Source organism: Homo sapiens, chromosome 10, assembly GCF_000001405.40.
Source record: "Homo sapiens chromosome 10, GRCh38.p14 Primary Assembly".
Classification (NCBI taxonomy): domain Eukaryota; kingdom Metazoa; phylum Chordata; class Mammalia; order Primates; family Hominidae; genus Homo; species Homo sapiens.
Window position 1 is genome coordinate 57,345,944 of NC_000010.11, and position 17,040 is coordinate 57,362,983.

The 17,040-nt window shown below is 36.6% G+C and overlaps 1 long non-coding RNA gene across 1 annotated transcript in view; it reads right to left on the minus strand.

Moving 5' to 3' along the window:
- The window catches only part of LOC105378313 (uncharacterized), an 85,058-nt gene that overhangs the window by 23,703 nt on the left and 44,315 nt on the right, over nucleotides 1–17,040 (minus strand). Inside the window, exons 3-4 of the long non-coding RNA XR_001747453.1 lie at nucleotides 6,979–7,033; nucleotides 5,746–5,879 (exon numbers count right to left, since the gene is read on the minus strand). This is a non-coding gene — a long non-coding RNA (uncharacterized LOC105378313). The remainder of the gene's footprint in view (nucleotides 1–5,745; nucleotides 5,880–6,978; nucleotides 7,034–17,040) is intronic.

The window sequence follows — 17,040 nt, forward strand, 5'->3', positions numbered from 1 at the left end:
CGGTAGTTCTGTTTTCAGCTCTTTGAGGAATTGCCACACTGTCTTCCACATGGTTGAACTAATTTACCCTCTCACCAACAGTGTATAAGCATTCCTTTTTCTCTGCAATCTCACCAACATCTGTTATTTTTTGACTTTTTAGTAATAGCCATTCTGACTGGTATGAAATGGTATCTCATTGTGGTTTTGATTTGCATTTGTCTAATGATCAGTGATGCTGAGCTTTTCTTCACATGATTGTTGGCCGTATATATGTCTTCTTTTGAAAAGTGCCTGTTTATGCCCTTTGCACACTTTTTAATGTGGTTGTTTCATTTTTTTCTTGTCAACCTGTTTAAGTTCCTTATAAATGCTGTGTATTAGACCTTTGTCAGATACGTAGTTGCAAAAATTTTCTCTCATTTTGTGGGCTGTCTGTTTACTCCATTGATAGTATCCTTTGCTGTGCAGAAGCTCTTTACTTTAAATAGAAATATTTATATATCCTAGTGCTTATCATTTGTCAATTTTTGCTTTTGTAGCAATTGCTTTTGGCAGCTTCATCATGAAATCTTTGCCTTTTCCTGGGTCCATAATGGTATTGCCTAGGTCTTTCAGGGTTTTTTAGAGCTTTATGTTTTACATTCAAGTCTTTAATCCATCTTGAGTTCATTTTTATGTATGGTGTAAGGAAAAGGTCCAGTTTCAGTTTTCTACATATGGCTAGCCAGTTATCCCAGCATCATTTATTTAATAGGGAATCCTTTTCCAATTGTTTGTTTTTGTCAAGTTTGTCGAAGATCAGATAGTTGTAGGCATGCAATCTTATTTCTGTATTCTCTATTCTGTTCCATTGGGCTGTGTGTCTGTTTTTAAACCAGTACCATTTTGTTTGGTTACTATAGTCCTGCAGTATAGTTTGAAGTTGGGTAGCATGATGCTCCATCTTTATTGTTTTTGCTTAAGATTGCCTTTGTTATTATGGCTCTTTTTTGGGTGCATTTGAATTTTAAAATATATTTTTCTAGTTCTGTGAAGAATGGCAATAGTAGTTTCATAGGAATAGCATTAAATCTATGTATTGCTTTGGGTAGTATGGCCATTTTCACAATTGATTCTTCCTATCCATGAGCCTGGAATGTTGTTCCATTTGTGTCATCACTGATTTCTTTGAGCAGTGTTTTATAGTTCTCCTTGTGGAGATCTTTTACCTCCCTGGTTAGCTTTATTCCTAGGTATTTTATTCCTAGGTATTTTTGTGGCAATGGTGAATGGGATTGCATTCCTGATTTGGCTCTAGCTTGACTGTTGTTGGTGTATAGGAATGTTAGTGAGTTTTGCATATTGACTTTGTGTCCTGAGACTTTGCTGAAGCTGTTTATCAGCTTATCAAGCTTTTGGGCTCAGAATATGCGGTTTTCTAGATATAGAATAATGTAATCTGCAAGCAGGCATAGTTTTACTTTCTCATTTTCTATTCGAATACGTTTTATTTCATTCATTTGCCCAACTGCCCTGGCCAAAACTTCCAATATTATGTTAAAAAGGAGAGACCACCATTGTCTTGTGCCAGTCTTTAGGGGGAATGCTTCCAGATTTTGCCTATTCAGTGTGAGGTTGGCTGTGAGTTTGTCAATAGAAGACACTTATTATATCAAAGTATGTTCCTTCAATACCTGGTTTATTGAGAGTTTTTAACATGAAGGAGTTTTGAATTTTACTGAAAGCCTTTAATGCATCTATTGAAATAATCATGTGTTTTTGTCCTCAGTTTGATTGGGATGAATTACATTTATTGATTTGCATATGTTGAACCAGCCTTGAATCCCGGGAATGAAGCCAACTTGATTGTGGTGGATAAGCTTTTTGACGTGCTGCTGGATTCAGTTTGTCAATATTTGTTAAGGATTTTTGAACTGATATTCATCAAGGATACAGGCTTAAGTTTTTTGTTGTTGTTGTTTTTGTGTTTCTGCCAGATTTTGATATCAAGAAGATGCTGGCCTCACAGAATGAGTCAGGGTAGAATCCCTCCTCCTCAATTTTTTAAAATAGTTTCAGCAGAAATGGTACCAGATTTTATTTGTGCATCTGGTACAATTCAGCTGTGAATCCACTGTATCCTGGGCCTTTTTTGGTTGGTAGGCTATTCATTACTGCCTCAATTTCAGAACTTGTTATTGGTCTGTACAGGGGTTCAATTTCTTCCTGGTTCGATCTTGAGAGGGTGTATGTGTCCAGGAATTTATCCATTTCTTCTAGAATTTATATTTTATGTGCATAGAGGTGTTTATAATATACTCTGATTATTATTTGTATTTCGGTGGGGTCAGTGGTAATACCCTACTTGTCATTTCTGATTGTGTTTATTGAGTCTTCTCTCCTGTATTAGTCTAGCTAGCAGTCTATTTTATTTTTTCAGAGAAACAGCTCCTGGATTTGTTGATCTTTTGATTCTTTATTTAGTGACTCAATCTCCTTCAGTTCAGCTCTGATTTTGGCTATTTCTTGTCTTCTCCTATCGTTGGGATTTATTTTTTCTTGGTTGTCTAGTTCTCTTAGTTGTGAAGTTAGGTTGTTAACTTGAGACCTTTCTAACTTGTTAATGTGGGCATTTAGTGCTACAAATTTCCCTGTTAACACTGCATTAGCTGTGTCCCAGAGATTCCAGCGTGTTGTATCTTTGTTCTCATTAGTTTCAAAGAACTACTTGATTCTTGCCTTAATTTCATTATTTACCTAAATGTCATTCTGGAGGTTACTTGATTTCCATGTAATTGTATGGTTTTGAGTAAATTTCTTAGTCTTGATTTCTAATTTGATTATGCTGTGGTCAGAGGGATTGTTTATTATGATTTCAGTTTTTTTGCATTTGCTGAGGAGTGTTTTATTTCTGATTATGTTATCAATTTTAGAGTACATGTCACGTGGCAATAAGAATAATGTATACTCTGTTGTTTTTTGGTGGAGAGTTCTGTAGATATCTCTAAGGGCCGTTTGATCTTGTGCTGAATTAATGTCCTGTAAATCTTTGTTAATTTTCTTTCATGATGATCTGTTTAATATTGTCAGTGGGGTGTTAAAGTTTCCAACTATTACTGTGTGGGAGTCTAAGTCTCTTTGAAGTTTTCTAAGAACTTGTTTTATGAATCTGGGTTGCTCTTGTGTTGGGTGCATATATATTTAGGATAGTTAGATCTTCTTGTTGAATTGAACCATTTACATTTATATAATACCCCTTTTTGTCTTTTTTGGTATTTGTTGGTTTAAGTCTGTTGTGTCTGAACTTAGGATTGCAAACCCTGCTTTTTTTGTGTGTGTTTTCCATTTGCTTGGTAAATTATCTCCATTCCATTATTTTGAGACTGTGTGTGTCATTGCATGTGAGATGGGTCTCTTGAAGATGGCATACCATTGGGTTTTGGTTCTTTATCCAGCTTTCCACTCTGTGCCTTTTAATTTGGGCATTTATCCCATTTACATTTAAAGTTAGTATTGACGTGTGGATGTGATTCTGTTATTATGATGTTTCGCAGGCTTGCTTATGTGGTTGCTTTATAGTGTCCCTGTTCTGTGTACTTCAGTGTGTTTTTGTCATGGCTGGTAATGTTTTTTGCTTTCCATATTTCATGCTTCCTTCAGGAGCTCTTGCAAGGCAGGCCTGGTGGTAACAAATTTCCCCAGCTTTTGCTTGTCTGTAAAGAATCTTATTTATCCTTTGCTTATAAAGCTTTGGCCAGATAAGAAATTTTGGGTTGGAAATTATCTTCTTTGAGAAGGTTGAATATTGGCCCCCAATCTCTTCTAGTCTGTAGGGTTTCTGTTGAGAGGTCTGCTGTTAGTCTAATTGTCTTCCCTTTGAACATAATCTAACCTCTCTCTCTAGCTGCCTTTAACATTTTTTCCTTCATTTCGACCTTGGATAATCTGATGATTATGTGTCTTGGGATGACATTCTCATCAAGTATCTTACTGGGGTTCTCTTCATTTCATGAATTTGAATATTGGTCCCTCTATCTAGGTTGGGGAAGTTCTCATGGATGATATCTTAGAATATAGTTTCCATATTAGTTCAATCATCCCATCTCTTTTAGGGACATAAATGAGTCATAGATTTGGCCTCTGCATAATTCCATATTTTTTAGAGCTTTGGTTCATTCCTTTGCATTATTTTATTTGACTCTTGTATTTCAGAAAGCCAGTCTTCAAGCTCTAGGTTCCTTCCTCCATTTGGTCTATTCTGCTATTAATACTTGTGATTGCATTATGAAATACTTGTAATGTGTTTTTCTATTAAGTCAGTTACATTCTTTTCTATAGTGGTTATTTTGTGTGTCAGTTCCTGCATTTTTTATCATAATATTTAGCTTTCTTGGATTGAGCTTCAACATCCTCCTGTGGCTCAATTATCTTCTTTCCTATCCATATTCTGAATTCTATTTCTGTCATTTCAGTCATCTCATATCTGTTCAGAACCCTTGCTGGAGAATTGATGCAGTCATTTGGAGAAAAAAAGGCACTCTGGCTTTTTGAGTTTTCAGGGTCCTTGTGCTGATTCTTTCTCACCTTTGTGGGATTATCTGCCTTCAAGCTTTGAGGTTTCTGACCTTCGGATTGTTTTGATTCCCCTTTTGTCCTATTAACTTTGAGGGTTTGGTCATGGTATAAGGTGCATTCAGCCATCTGGCTTTGTTTTTGGAAGATTTTAGGGGGACAATTCTCAGTTTCCAAATCCTGGACTGCATGCTCTAACTCTTGGGGACTTGGATTGGGCACCACTTTTGTTCTCTGTCTCCTCAAGTTTAGGACTCTACTGCACTGGAGGGACTGAAATGCATCAGGAGAGTGCTAGCAGAGCCTGGGTGCCTGCTCCTTCCAGCATTCACCACAGTGGTGGAAGCCTTATAGCTTGGGAGGGTGGTCTGCTGGTGACTGTGCATGTGATCACACTGGAGGTGGTATTGGCTCTGGAGCAAAGTGCTGGCAGGTGCAGGTCTGTGTACCTTCTCTTTGTTCTGCAAGCAGGAGTGGTCACTCAGTGTGGGGGAGGATCTGCTGTTCTCTGCACAGTGTTAGCACAAGGGCAAGTTGCCTGCAGGGGAAGGGCTGGTTGACTCTGTGTCTGCCAAGGCTCTATATGCAATGGTGGTTAGTGGGGAGAGAGAACGGGACTGTACTCCTGCATGCTGGTGAGGAAATCAAAACCCACCTATGTAGACAGATGCCAGCAAAGTGATGTGAGGAGTTGCTATGGGCCTGGAATAAGCAGCAGTATGGGGAAAAGTTGCCAGGCTGGTACACAGCCAAAGGGGCCAGCTCGCTGGAGCTCTCTGCTGGTTGGGCAAGGTCTGCCAGCCAGAAGCTATGGTGCAGGCCCTCAGGGCACCCAACACTGCCCTACAAGCAGGCATGGCCAGGCTGGGGTCCCAGGAGAGACCAGGACACCAAGGCCTACTCAGGTCAAACTACTCCCATCTGATGGGCAAAACTACCCTGCAGAGATCAGGTCCAACAGTTCCCTTGGGCTAAAGTGTCTTGTGGGAGCAAGTTGAGTTGAAGGGGATGTGTGACCCTGGCCATGCTCCACTACAGAAGCTCCTGCACCAGACCCTCTTGGCTCTACATGAGCTGGCTTGTTGCCCCTACCACTTCTCTAAGCAGCTCTCCCTGCCAACTCAAGTGTCCATAGTGATCAAGGGGTCTCCTCTTGGTGGTGTTTCAGAGGCCTCAGGAAAGAGCAAGTTGCTCCTTCCCAGTTCAACTCACCCTTTCCTCCAGAGCTGAACCAGGAGCAGGTCCCAGTGTGCAGTAGCCCTGTGCAGGGCTCCCAGCTTCCTCCCCCTTCAGCCCAGCCTCTGTGTCTTCTCTCCATCCACTTTTAGTGCCTTCTCTCTGAAGATCTGTCAGGAGCATGCAAGTCGTCTCATTCCCTCAGTGTGAGCTGTTCCACCTGGCTGCATCTAGTCAGCCATCCTGCCCCCACCTTGGCTTCTACTTTTTATATTTAAACCAGCTATAAAAATATAAAGATTAAAGTATATAAAAAGTGTATTTCAGCACTTTTTACTTGTCTGGAGGAAAAACAGTTTTATAAATCTCACCAGAAGTCATTAGAATAAGATTTATAGTGCACATTTTCTTATATTGTATCCAAGACATATAAAAAGTTTTAAATTTGGTTCACATATCAGTGGTTTATAACAATGGAGTCACTTTTCTTTTGTCTATACCTACTATTTGCTTTTTTATGAAAGCATTTTTTTTTTACAATGAGGAGTGACTGGGGAAGAAGGGGTCAATGAGTCCATCATTTAAACTTTTAAAGTCATTATGTCACAATGGGAATTCTACTCAGCAACAGCAGCTCATAGAACTGAACAGAAGTAGTGCCTTGACTCATGTTTTAACATATAGACTTATTAATCACTTGCATAACAAAAAAGGTCAATTCAAATTATTGGATATCCCTATAAAGCCTTTTGGGCAAATACACCTGATTCCTAAGCCTTAAAATATTTTATTTGCATGTATATAAAATATATTGCCATTTAAATGATGCACATTTTAGAAATGTGGTGGATCACTGTGGTCCTTAAGTCCTTCCTCATATACATCTGAAGACTAAATATCTCTGTAATACATTGTCTCTGCCTTGTGTCTTGAATATTTCTTTTATTTATCTTGCTTTTAAAGTAATACAATCATAAAACTTTGAGAGTAGTCAGACCTCAAGCCACATTAGTTAAAACTTATGGGACAGTAGTTCCTCTTTGGAGAAAAGAAATCATAAGTATCCCCATGTTATGGGATTCTGCAACCCAGAGAGAACCCTTGGAAAGAGTTTACAACATAAGAATCCAAGTAGGTTGACTTCAGGCTAGACTTGAGCAGACTATTCGATAAATCACTGAGAGTATTTTAAGAGTGATGTGTATATATATGTGTGTATATATATATATATATTGCTAGGATAAAATTTATGATTTGTAAATTACTTACGAAAGTACTGGGAAAATGGTCAGTTCATTTGGGCAGTATTCCAGCCATATTCAGCCTGTATTTGAAGCATTAAGAACACAAAGGTAGTCACTATGACTATATCAGGGTTAAAGAATTCCCTTTCAATACTCCATTGATTAAACAAATATTTACTGATTATGTATATTTGTGAAATAATTCTTCATCGCTCTTTAGCATTTCTGTATCTCTTGAGAGCAGAGGCATGAACTAGCCTTTTGTTCCAGAAAAATCTTTCCAAGGATGTTTATATAAAACAGAACATAGAGATAGCCAGTGCTTCATCCAAATAAGGCTCTCCTTGTACTAATACTTATCTTTCATTTTCTTGGGGTTTCTTTTATAATTTATTTTGTTTTTTAATTTGAATGTCTTTATTGGTATATTATAATTTAACAAAGTGCAATTTTAGCTTAACAAAAGCCACTCTATTCTCATAACACTTTCTCTATAAAATGTGGAAGTTTTGCAGAGAGAGGGTGAGTTATTTCCCTTAGGGAGAGAAAGTATTAAGATTTAACCTCTTTTTTTTAGCTTAAATGTTATTTGTCCCTTTTTTATAATTGAGATGGTATCTGCTGAGATTTGCAGGCTGGTGTGTACCTGAAGGCTTTGCTTTCTCTTGCATAGGGGGACACATCATAAATAAGATGGGCAGCTGGCCTAGTCATCTAATGCAGTGATGTCTAATTTGAAAGTCACACGTTCAATCTTGCCCGCAAATGTGTTTTGGTTGACCTGCCAGTATAAAAAAAAAACCAATAGCTTTCAAATTCAGTCTGTGTTCATATTCCTAACTGTTCTTGAAATATTTGAAGATGAGGCCATACTACCACAGTCCCCATGACAGCAATGGCTGTAAGAGAATAGTACCGGATCCTCTCAGATGAAACATGTGCTTTCCAGTTTTCTGGCCCATCTGCTTCACTTGCCCTGTCAGATTCCTATAATTAATAACTTGTTAATGACCCATGGTTTGATTTCTTGTCTCCTATGCACAAAACAGCAAGAACGGTATTTCATAAATATCAATCACATCATGTGATTTCCTGAACTGACCCTTCCCGTGGCTTTCTCTCCCACATAGAAAATAATCTTTTAAAAAATAATAAAAATAATAAAAAAATAAAATAATAAAAAAGTTTTATTTTGCTCTAGAAAGCCCCATATGATCTTAGCCCATTTCGCAGACCTTATTTCTTATTATACTTTCTTCACCCACCCCCATTATCTCTATTTATATGGAACTTCTTTCTCCCTGTTACCTGAACATGATAAGGTCATTTATCAGGATTTTTTGCACTTGCTGTCTTTTATGTTAGGAGCACACATAGCATGTTATCTCTCTCCCAGTGGCTTCTTTTCAGAGTCTTTACAATACCCTCCTTCAGTCAGCTCTATACACTGTTGTAAAAATAATCTCTGACACACAACCAATCTTGTCATTAATCTGATTTAAATCCATCAAGAATTTTCCACTAACCACAGTGTAACAGTAAAACTCATTGGCATGATATACAAGGCCTACCGAATCCAGATTGAATATACATTTAGGTCTTATACTCCCACTCTTCCTTTATGAAACATATGCTGTACAGACTGTACCATTTTCCAATTGGGTGAGAATTTCCATAGCTTTGCTTTTACTAGGCTGGTGAAGAAGTAATTGTGGTTTTGCCATGAAAACTGCAATTACTTTTGCACCAACCCAATATGTTTGTGGTTATTCTCTTGGCCTGACTTTCCCCTTTCTTACCAAAAATCTAACCCAAACTATCATTCCCAGTCAAAAATATGCATAATTCATTAGGCATCTTCTGTGATACTGCAGCATTTTCTTAGACTTTTAAAATAAAAATAAATAAATAAAATAAAACCAGTGTGTTGAATGCTGTTTAAGTTACTCCTAAAGAGACTCCGAGTTCACTGAAAATAACAATAGAGTTTATACTCCAGTATAGAGCATATTCTCAACAAATTTATTAAATTCAAGCGAAAACTAGTGAAATTCATATCTGATTGCAGTTTAGTACTATGAGAAGACTTCAAAATCAATGCTTAGTAGTCATTGGCTCAGTTCTGTTCCCCTTAGGTGACTCAAAAAAAAAAATTCAACGTGCAAAGGAAATTGGGTTTGGACTTTGATTATGATTATGCAAGACAAACTATAGTGTAGGAAGCTTGTCCAACACACTTTATTTTATTGTTGTTCTGCTTTGTTTTGTTTTAGGCTTTTAGCATACTGAAGCCATGGTTTTTAGTTTCTGCCTCTAGTGATAAGTGGAAAAGAGGATGAGGAAAGGGCCTTACTGGCCCAACCAGAAACAGAAACCAAGAACCCATGAGTTTTTTCTCTCACTTGGACACTCCTGGGAGGTGATTTTGTATCATGTAACTTGATTCATTCAGATAGAAAACTCAAGTCCTATTGTAGCAGGGCATTGTCCATACAGATCATAGCTTAATAGCCAAACTTGGTTTCTTCTGAGAATAGAAAAGCCTTAACTTTATGGAATAAAGTAAAATTCTCATGGTTTGCAGTCAAGAAGAGACACTTTTGCTTGCTTCAATAAAGACAAAAGCAAGCACAACCTTCATGTTTGGGTCAGTTTCCTTTATCTTCCAAATTTCAAGAAGATGACATGATGAGTCCCAGGTGGATGCTGCATGAGCAATAGCTTTGTAGCATACTTCAGGAACTCAGAGTTTAGGGAATCCAAATATTTCGTAATTGCCTACAAGTAAACAGGGATAAGCTTTGCTCCAGATAGAAACACTATCCATTGATCTATATCTCTGTTTTGGTACCAGTACCATGCTGTTTTGGTTACTGTAGCCTTGTAGTATAGTTTGAAGTCAGGTAGCGTGATGCCTCCGGCTTTGTTCTTTTGGCTTAGGATTGACTTGGTGATGCGGGCTCTTTTTTTGGTTCCATATGAACTTTAAAGTAGTTTTTTCCAATTCTGTGAAGAAAGTCATTGGTAGCTTGATGGGGATGGCATTGAATCTATAAATTACCTTGGGCAGTATGGCCATTTTCACAATATTGATTCTTCCTACCCATGAGCATGGAATGTTCTTCCATTTGTTTGTAACCTCTTTTATCTCATTGAGCAGTGGTTTGTAGTTCTCCTTGAAGAGGTCCTTCACATCCCTTGTTAGTTGGATTCCTAGGTATTTTAGTCTCTTTAACACAATTGTGAATGGGGGTTCACTGATGATTTCGCTCCCCGTTTGTTGGTTATTGGGGTATAGGAATGCTTGTGATTTTTACACATTGATTTTGTATCCTGAGACTGCTGAATTTGCTTATCAGCTTAAGGAGATTTTGGGCTGAGACGATGGGGTTTTCTAAATATACAATCATGTCATCTTCAAACAGGGACAATTTGACTTCCTTTTTTCCTAATTGAATACCCTTTATTTCTTTCTCCTGCCTGATTGCCCTGGCCAGAACTTCCAACAGTATGTTGAATAGGAGTGGTGAGAGAGGGCATCCCTGTCTTGTGCCAGTTTTCAAAGGGAATGCTTCTAGTTTTTGCCCATTCAGTATGATATTGGCTGTGGGTTTGTCATAAATAGCTCTTATTATTTTGAGATACGTCCCATCAATACCTGATTTATTGAGAGTTTTTAGCATGAATGGTTGTTGAATTTTGTCAAAGGCCTTTTCTGCATCTATTGAGATAATCGTGTGGTTTTTGTCTTTGTTTCTGTTTATATGCTGGATTACATTTATTGATTTGTGTATGTTGAACCAGCCTTGCATCCCAGGTATGAAGCCCACTTGATCATGGTGGATAAGCTTTTTGATGTGCTGCTGGATTCGGTTTGCCAGTATTTTATTGAGGATTTTTGCATCAATGTTCATCAAGGATATTGGCCTAAAATTCTCTTTTTTGGTTGTGTCTCTGCCAGGCTTTGGTATCAGGATGATGTTGGCCTCTCAGAAATAATGCTGCATATCTACAACCATCTGATCTTTGACAAACCTGACAAAAACAAGAAATGGGGAAACGATTCCCTATTTAATAAATGGTGCTGGGAAAACTGGCTAGCCTTATGGAGAAAGCTGAAACTGGATCCCTTCCTTACACCTCATACAAAAATTAATTCAAGATGGATTAAAGACTTACATGTTAGACCTAAAACCATAAAAACCCTAGAAGAAAACCTAGGCAATACCATTCAGGACATAGACATGGGCAAGGACTTCATGTTTAAAACACCAAAAGCAATGGCAACAGAAGCCAAAATTGACAAATGGGGTCTAATTAAACTAAAGAGCCTCTGCACAGCAAAAGAAACTACCATCAGAGTGAACAGGCAACCTACAAAATGGGAGAAAATTTTCGCAACCTACTCATCTGACAAAGGGCTAATATCCAGAATCTACAATGAACTCAAACAAATTTACAAGAAAAAAACATACAACCCCGTCAAAAAGTGGGCAAAGGACATGAACAGACACTTCTCAAAAGAAGACATTTATGCAGCCAAAAAACACATGAAAAAATGCTCATCATCACTGGCCATCAGAGAAATGCAAATCAAAACCACAATGAGATACCATCTCACACCAGTTAGAATGGCAATCATTAAAAAGTCAGGAAACAACAGGTGCTGGAAAGGATGTGGAGAAATAGGAACACTTTTACACTGTTGCTGGGACTATAAACTAGTTCAACCATTGTGGAAGTCAGTGTGGCGATTCCTCAGGGATCCAGAACTAGAAATACCATTTGACCCAGCCATCCCATTACTGGGTATATACCCAAAGGATTATAAATCATGCTGCCATAAGGACACATGCACACATATGTTTATTGTGGCACTATTCACAATAGCAAAGACTTGGAACCAACCCAAATGTCCAACAACGATAGACTGGATTAAGAAAATGTGGCACATATACCCCATGGAATACTATGCAGCCATAAAAAATGATGAGTTCATGTCCTTTGTAGGGACATGGATGAAGCTGGAAGCCATCATTCTCAGCAAACTATCGCAAGGACAAAAAACCAAACACTGCATGTTCTCACTCATAGGTGGGAATTGAACAATGAGAACACATGGACACAGGAAGGGGAACATCACACTCCAGGGACTGTTGTGGGGTGGGGGGAGGGGGGAGGGATAGCATTAGGAGATATACCTAATGCTAAATGATGAGTTAATGGGTGCAGCACACCAACATGGCACACGTATACATATGTAACAAACCTGCACATTGTGCACATGTACCCTAAAACTTACGGTATAATAATAATAAAACTAAAAAAAAAGAAACACTATCCAAATTATACTGAACAGTAAGCAAACCTTCTCTGGAGGGAAGCACTCTCTTTTGTGCCTTGTCAAATCATGTCATGCAAATATGAGCATTCGCAGAATCAAAATAAAAAACATTCTGAAAAATAGAAAAATGAAATAAGAGTGTAGGTGCAAGTGCCTTATTTGGTTAAAGAACTGACTATGTATTTAGAAACAGAAGGGACATATATTAAAAGTTAGCATTGTTTGCTAGTGAGATTATCGGTGTCCTTAGAATATTTGATAACATATTTACATGTTGCCAGTCATTTTCTGGAGAAAATCTCTTATGGTAGCAAATTCAAGGTGATAGTTAGCCAACAAATAAGATATTAGTGAGAAGGGAGACAAATTTATTCCCGCAGATTAAACTAATCATAGCCTCTTCTCCTTTCTGGCAGAAGCCAGTTCCTTCTATTCATAACTAAACCAGCCTTCCAAAAGAATCAGGCTCTCAATTCAGTCATAACATAAAAGTAAAAAAAAAGTCTGGATTTCTGACTTTCTGTAAATATTTTTACCTGTGAATTTATAGACAGCTACATTTTATTCCTTTGCTTTCTTTCATATATTTAAAATATTGAGCATTTGCATCAATAAAGCCACAGAAGATATATTTCTATTTATGTGACAGTATAAAAACAACTAATGGGAAAACTGCCATGCCAATTCCAAAGTATGAGGGATCAATTGTTGGACAGATTGATTGTTGCCTTCCAGTCTATGACAATGGTGGGGAGGGAGCTGGTTTGAGGAAAAGAGGCAATAGACTGCTGCTAATCCTGAAAATATATTTCTGGCTTTTTCTTCATTCAATCTCATGCATTTTCTTCTTTCTGTCTGATTTGGACTTGCCACTAGCATCTGAGATTATATGGTGCTTGCCTCTTACAAAGGGAAGTTTGTAACTAGTTTGCATTTTTAAAGCTTCTACAGAATAAAGAAATTTCTGATAACCCTCCCATCCAAACCAATTAGAGAAAAACTGCTGAATTTGTGACTTTATCAGGTTTCAGGGAAATCTCACATATCCAAAATCAAGCATTCTTTATAAAAATTGTGCCATTTTCAGACATTTACTTTTCTTGAACCTCCTTGAAAGTCATTGCAAAAGCAAAGTGTTTCAGAAATAAGTACACTTACTTCTAACTAGCAGTCTCATAGACCATCAGTTGACATTTTTAAAGATACAGAAAATTTCAGGCAAAAACATTTAAAATTTGCTTTTTTCCTCACTAGGAGGATGCATTTGATTATACATTTTAGATTATTTAACACAATATTTATGTGGCATATAGAGTCTTTGCTATGACTTCCAGATCTTTTAATATGAAAAAAATATTGAAAATAGTCAATTGCATTTGTCTTTAAACTTAGATTATAATAAAACTGATTTACTTTACCAGACAAACTATAGAGTAATGATTAATAGTACAGATCTTGGAGCCAGAATGCCCAGATTTGAATCATAACTCTGCTATTTAATAGCTGTGTTATCTTGAAATATCAGGCAAGTTATTAATATCTCTGCACTTCGGTTTTATCATATTTAAAATAGGGATGATAATGAAGCTTTCTAAGGTTGATGTGAGGATTAAATGAGTCAATGTTGGTGAATTTTGAATATTATCTAGAATTTGGTACATGATGGAGGGGTAGTTAACTATCCTTATTAAGATTAATGAGCCAAACAAGCTCTGCATAATGTTAGGCATCTTATTTATTAACAATGGTCCAATTGGGACATAGCACTCAGCAGTACAATATGAACGTTCTATCAGAACCTGCTTTCCTGTGGATTCCTCAATTGGAAAATAAAGCAAGGGAGAACTGTATCACCAAAAACATGAATGTAAAGGAAACAATCTTCATATTTGATATGGTTTAGCTGTGTCCCTACCCAAATCTAATCTCAAACTGTAATCCCCATAATCCCCACGTGTCAAGGGCAGGTCCTGGTGGGAGGTGATTGGACCATGTGGGCAGTTTTCCTCATGCTGTTCTCTGATAGTGAGTGAGTTCTTACAAGGTCTAATGGTTTTATAAGTGTTTGACATTTCCTCCTACACACATTTACTTTTGCTCACCTGCTGCCATGTAAGACGCACCTGCTTCCCCTTCTGCCACGATTGTAAGTTTCCTGAGGCCCCTACAGCCATGTGGAACTGTGAGTCAATTAAACCTCTTTCTTTCTTTATAGCAGTGTGAAGATGAACTAATACAATACTTAATAATATTAATTTTATTTCAACAGCAAAAGTAATCATTGATTATAAAGATGACCCAGAAATATCTTTTTAATGTCTAGGGCACAATATCTGGAACTTGTAGTTGTTTAGTTTCAGAAACTCATAATTTTCAGATACCAACTTATAATTTTCAGATATTTATTTTAAAAATGTCCTGCCTTCTGAAAGAGTAATATAGCTTTGTTTTTCTCATTATTGTTTTTATGTTTAGCTTATGAGGAACCATAACAATTTATAATTTTTGTGGCACAAAGATGAACTATATGTATTTATTTATTTTTACCATATTAACTATGAGACCTATTTTCCTCAGGAACAGATCATATCATTGGCAATCTAGGCATTCTCCTAACCCAGTCATGCCCTAGAAGGTTGGCCACCAGAAATGTTAAAACAGGTCGTTATAAAGGGCATGAATATAAAAACAAGAGACTGCCCTGAGGAGGAGGTGCCAGCCTCTGGCCAAGCATTGAGGTTTCTCTGGCCCAAGCAAATCACTGAGCCTGCTCCAAGTTTTGCCTTCTCTGCCATCATTGTTGACATGGTGTTGGAGACTGGCAGATAATTTAACATTGTGGTTCCAATTCTAATTGTCTATGTGTTCACAAGCTGTTATTAGTTTTTAATAATATGTCAATGTTACTATTATTATTATTACTCTTCTTATTATAACTATTTTCAAATAGAAATTGGTCTGTTTAGAACAGATCCCTGTTAATCTCTCATTAACTGATTCCTGACTTCACCATTTGATTTCTTTAACTCCTAGACCAAATCTACATTTGTTGCTTCTGATGTAAACATCTTAATGTCTGCCTATCTCATAATAGTCTTATTATTCTTAAAAAATAGAATAGAAAAAGAAGCAAAATTTATTTTCACAGTTTATATTTTATCTTTATCATTTATTGACTAATCACTACACATTGAGAAGTTCCTTTTATTTGGTGGATATATTTAAGAGTCTAGCTTACGGTCTTGGAAATTGTACCCAAGGAAGAGCATAGCTTTCTGTGTGTTAGCATCACTGACATTAATTTTACAATTATGTACCTCTCTATACTTAACCTTAGTTACATGTTTCTCATTCCATATTTTGTACATATTCTAATTTATCTCTTTGTTCTTTAAAGAGCTCTCTGTATAACCATGTTGCTTTGAGAAATGTGGCTTAGTAATTTCTCAAGGACAGTTGGAAAAAAGTTTAAATTGTTTATAAATATTGTAAGAAATTGCCACCTTTCCCTAGATATTCTTCCTTTAAAATAACAATATGAATGCATTTTTCACCAATATCTTTTATAAGGCAACCCAACAATATTTATCAATACTTCATCCCACTTTCTAGAATAAGACAGACATTCAAATTAATTTCCCCTTTCAAAGTGTTGATGGCTTGTGAAATTAGACTCAGGTAGATAGCCTGGAAAAGTGTATTAGCCTCTCCCTGTCACTCAGACTTTCTGAATGAATAGACAGGCTTTCCTCTATTTAAAAAATGCTTGTATTTCATTTCAAAAGCATCAAATGTCTCTATAAAGAGAAAAATGGGAGTCAAGAGGATTGGTATTTTTCAAGTGGGGAGAACTCAGACTAGATTCTATGATTAAATGTAGAAACAACCCTCCAAAAAACTAGTTTATTAAAGCCATTAAGTTAGTATAACTACTTCATTTTGAAAAATAGCTACAGCAAAATCTAGTGTTCGGTTTATGCATTTATTTTTAGGTATTCTTTTTCCTTATGGAAAAAAGAACTTTGACATAGCTTTTTATTTATTTGTTTAGTATCAATATGAGTTGAGAAGAGACATGTTAAAATGCTGGAAAAAAATGTATACAAAAAATGAAATCAAGAGAGAAAATAGTTCATGATAGCAGGACCCCCTCCTGTTATACTGCAAGAATATGGATTCATATTTATTTTATAGTCTGCTTATCTTCATGCAAAAATAAAAGCAAATATGCAAAAATGGAGGTTATGAGATTTACTGATTATCATACACATAACTGGAAATTTGAAAAGCTGATATGTTATTTTATCAAAATGAATATTTTATAGAAAAACTAAAATGTCTTTAGTGAAGTATATCACAAGGTACCATAAAGAACTGTCATAAATGGACAGTATTCTCAAACCTATAATTTGCCCTAGTCCTAAACAATCCAGCTAAATAATTCTGTCCTTAAAACTGTGAACAATCAACCACAACCAAGTCTTTTCAGAAAAGCTTTTACACAATGTGTCCAAGTGAAAGGAGTAAAGCCAACTGTCAGTGCTAATTGCTTAGCAGGAATATTCTAACAAATTCAATTCAGATAAAATAATGAAAAATAAAATGATTAGTTATTAATTTAATTACTTTGGGTTCTCTCTAGCCTTGGAGATATTTTAGAAAGAGAAAACAAACAAATAAATGAATAGTAATTTTAAAAGAAGGAAATGAAACTAATGGCAAGTGAAATATTACCCTGTGGGA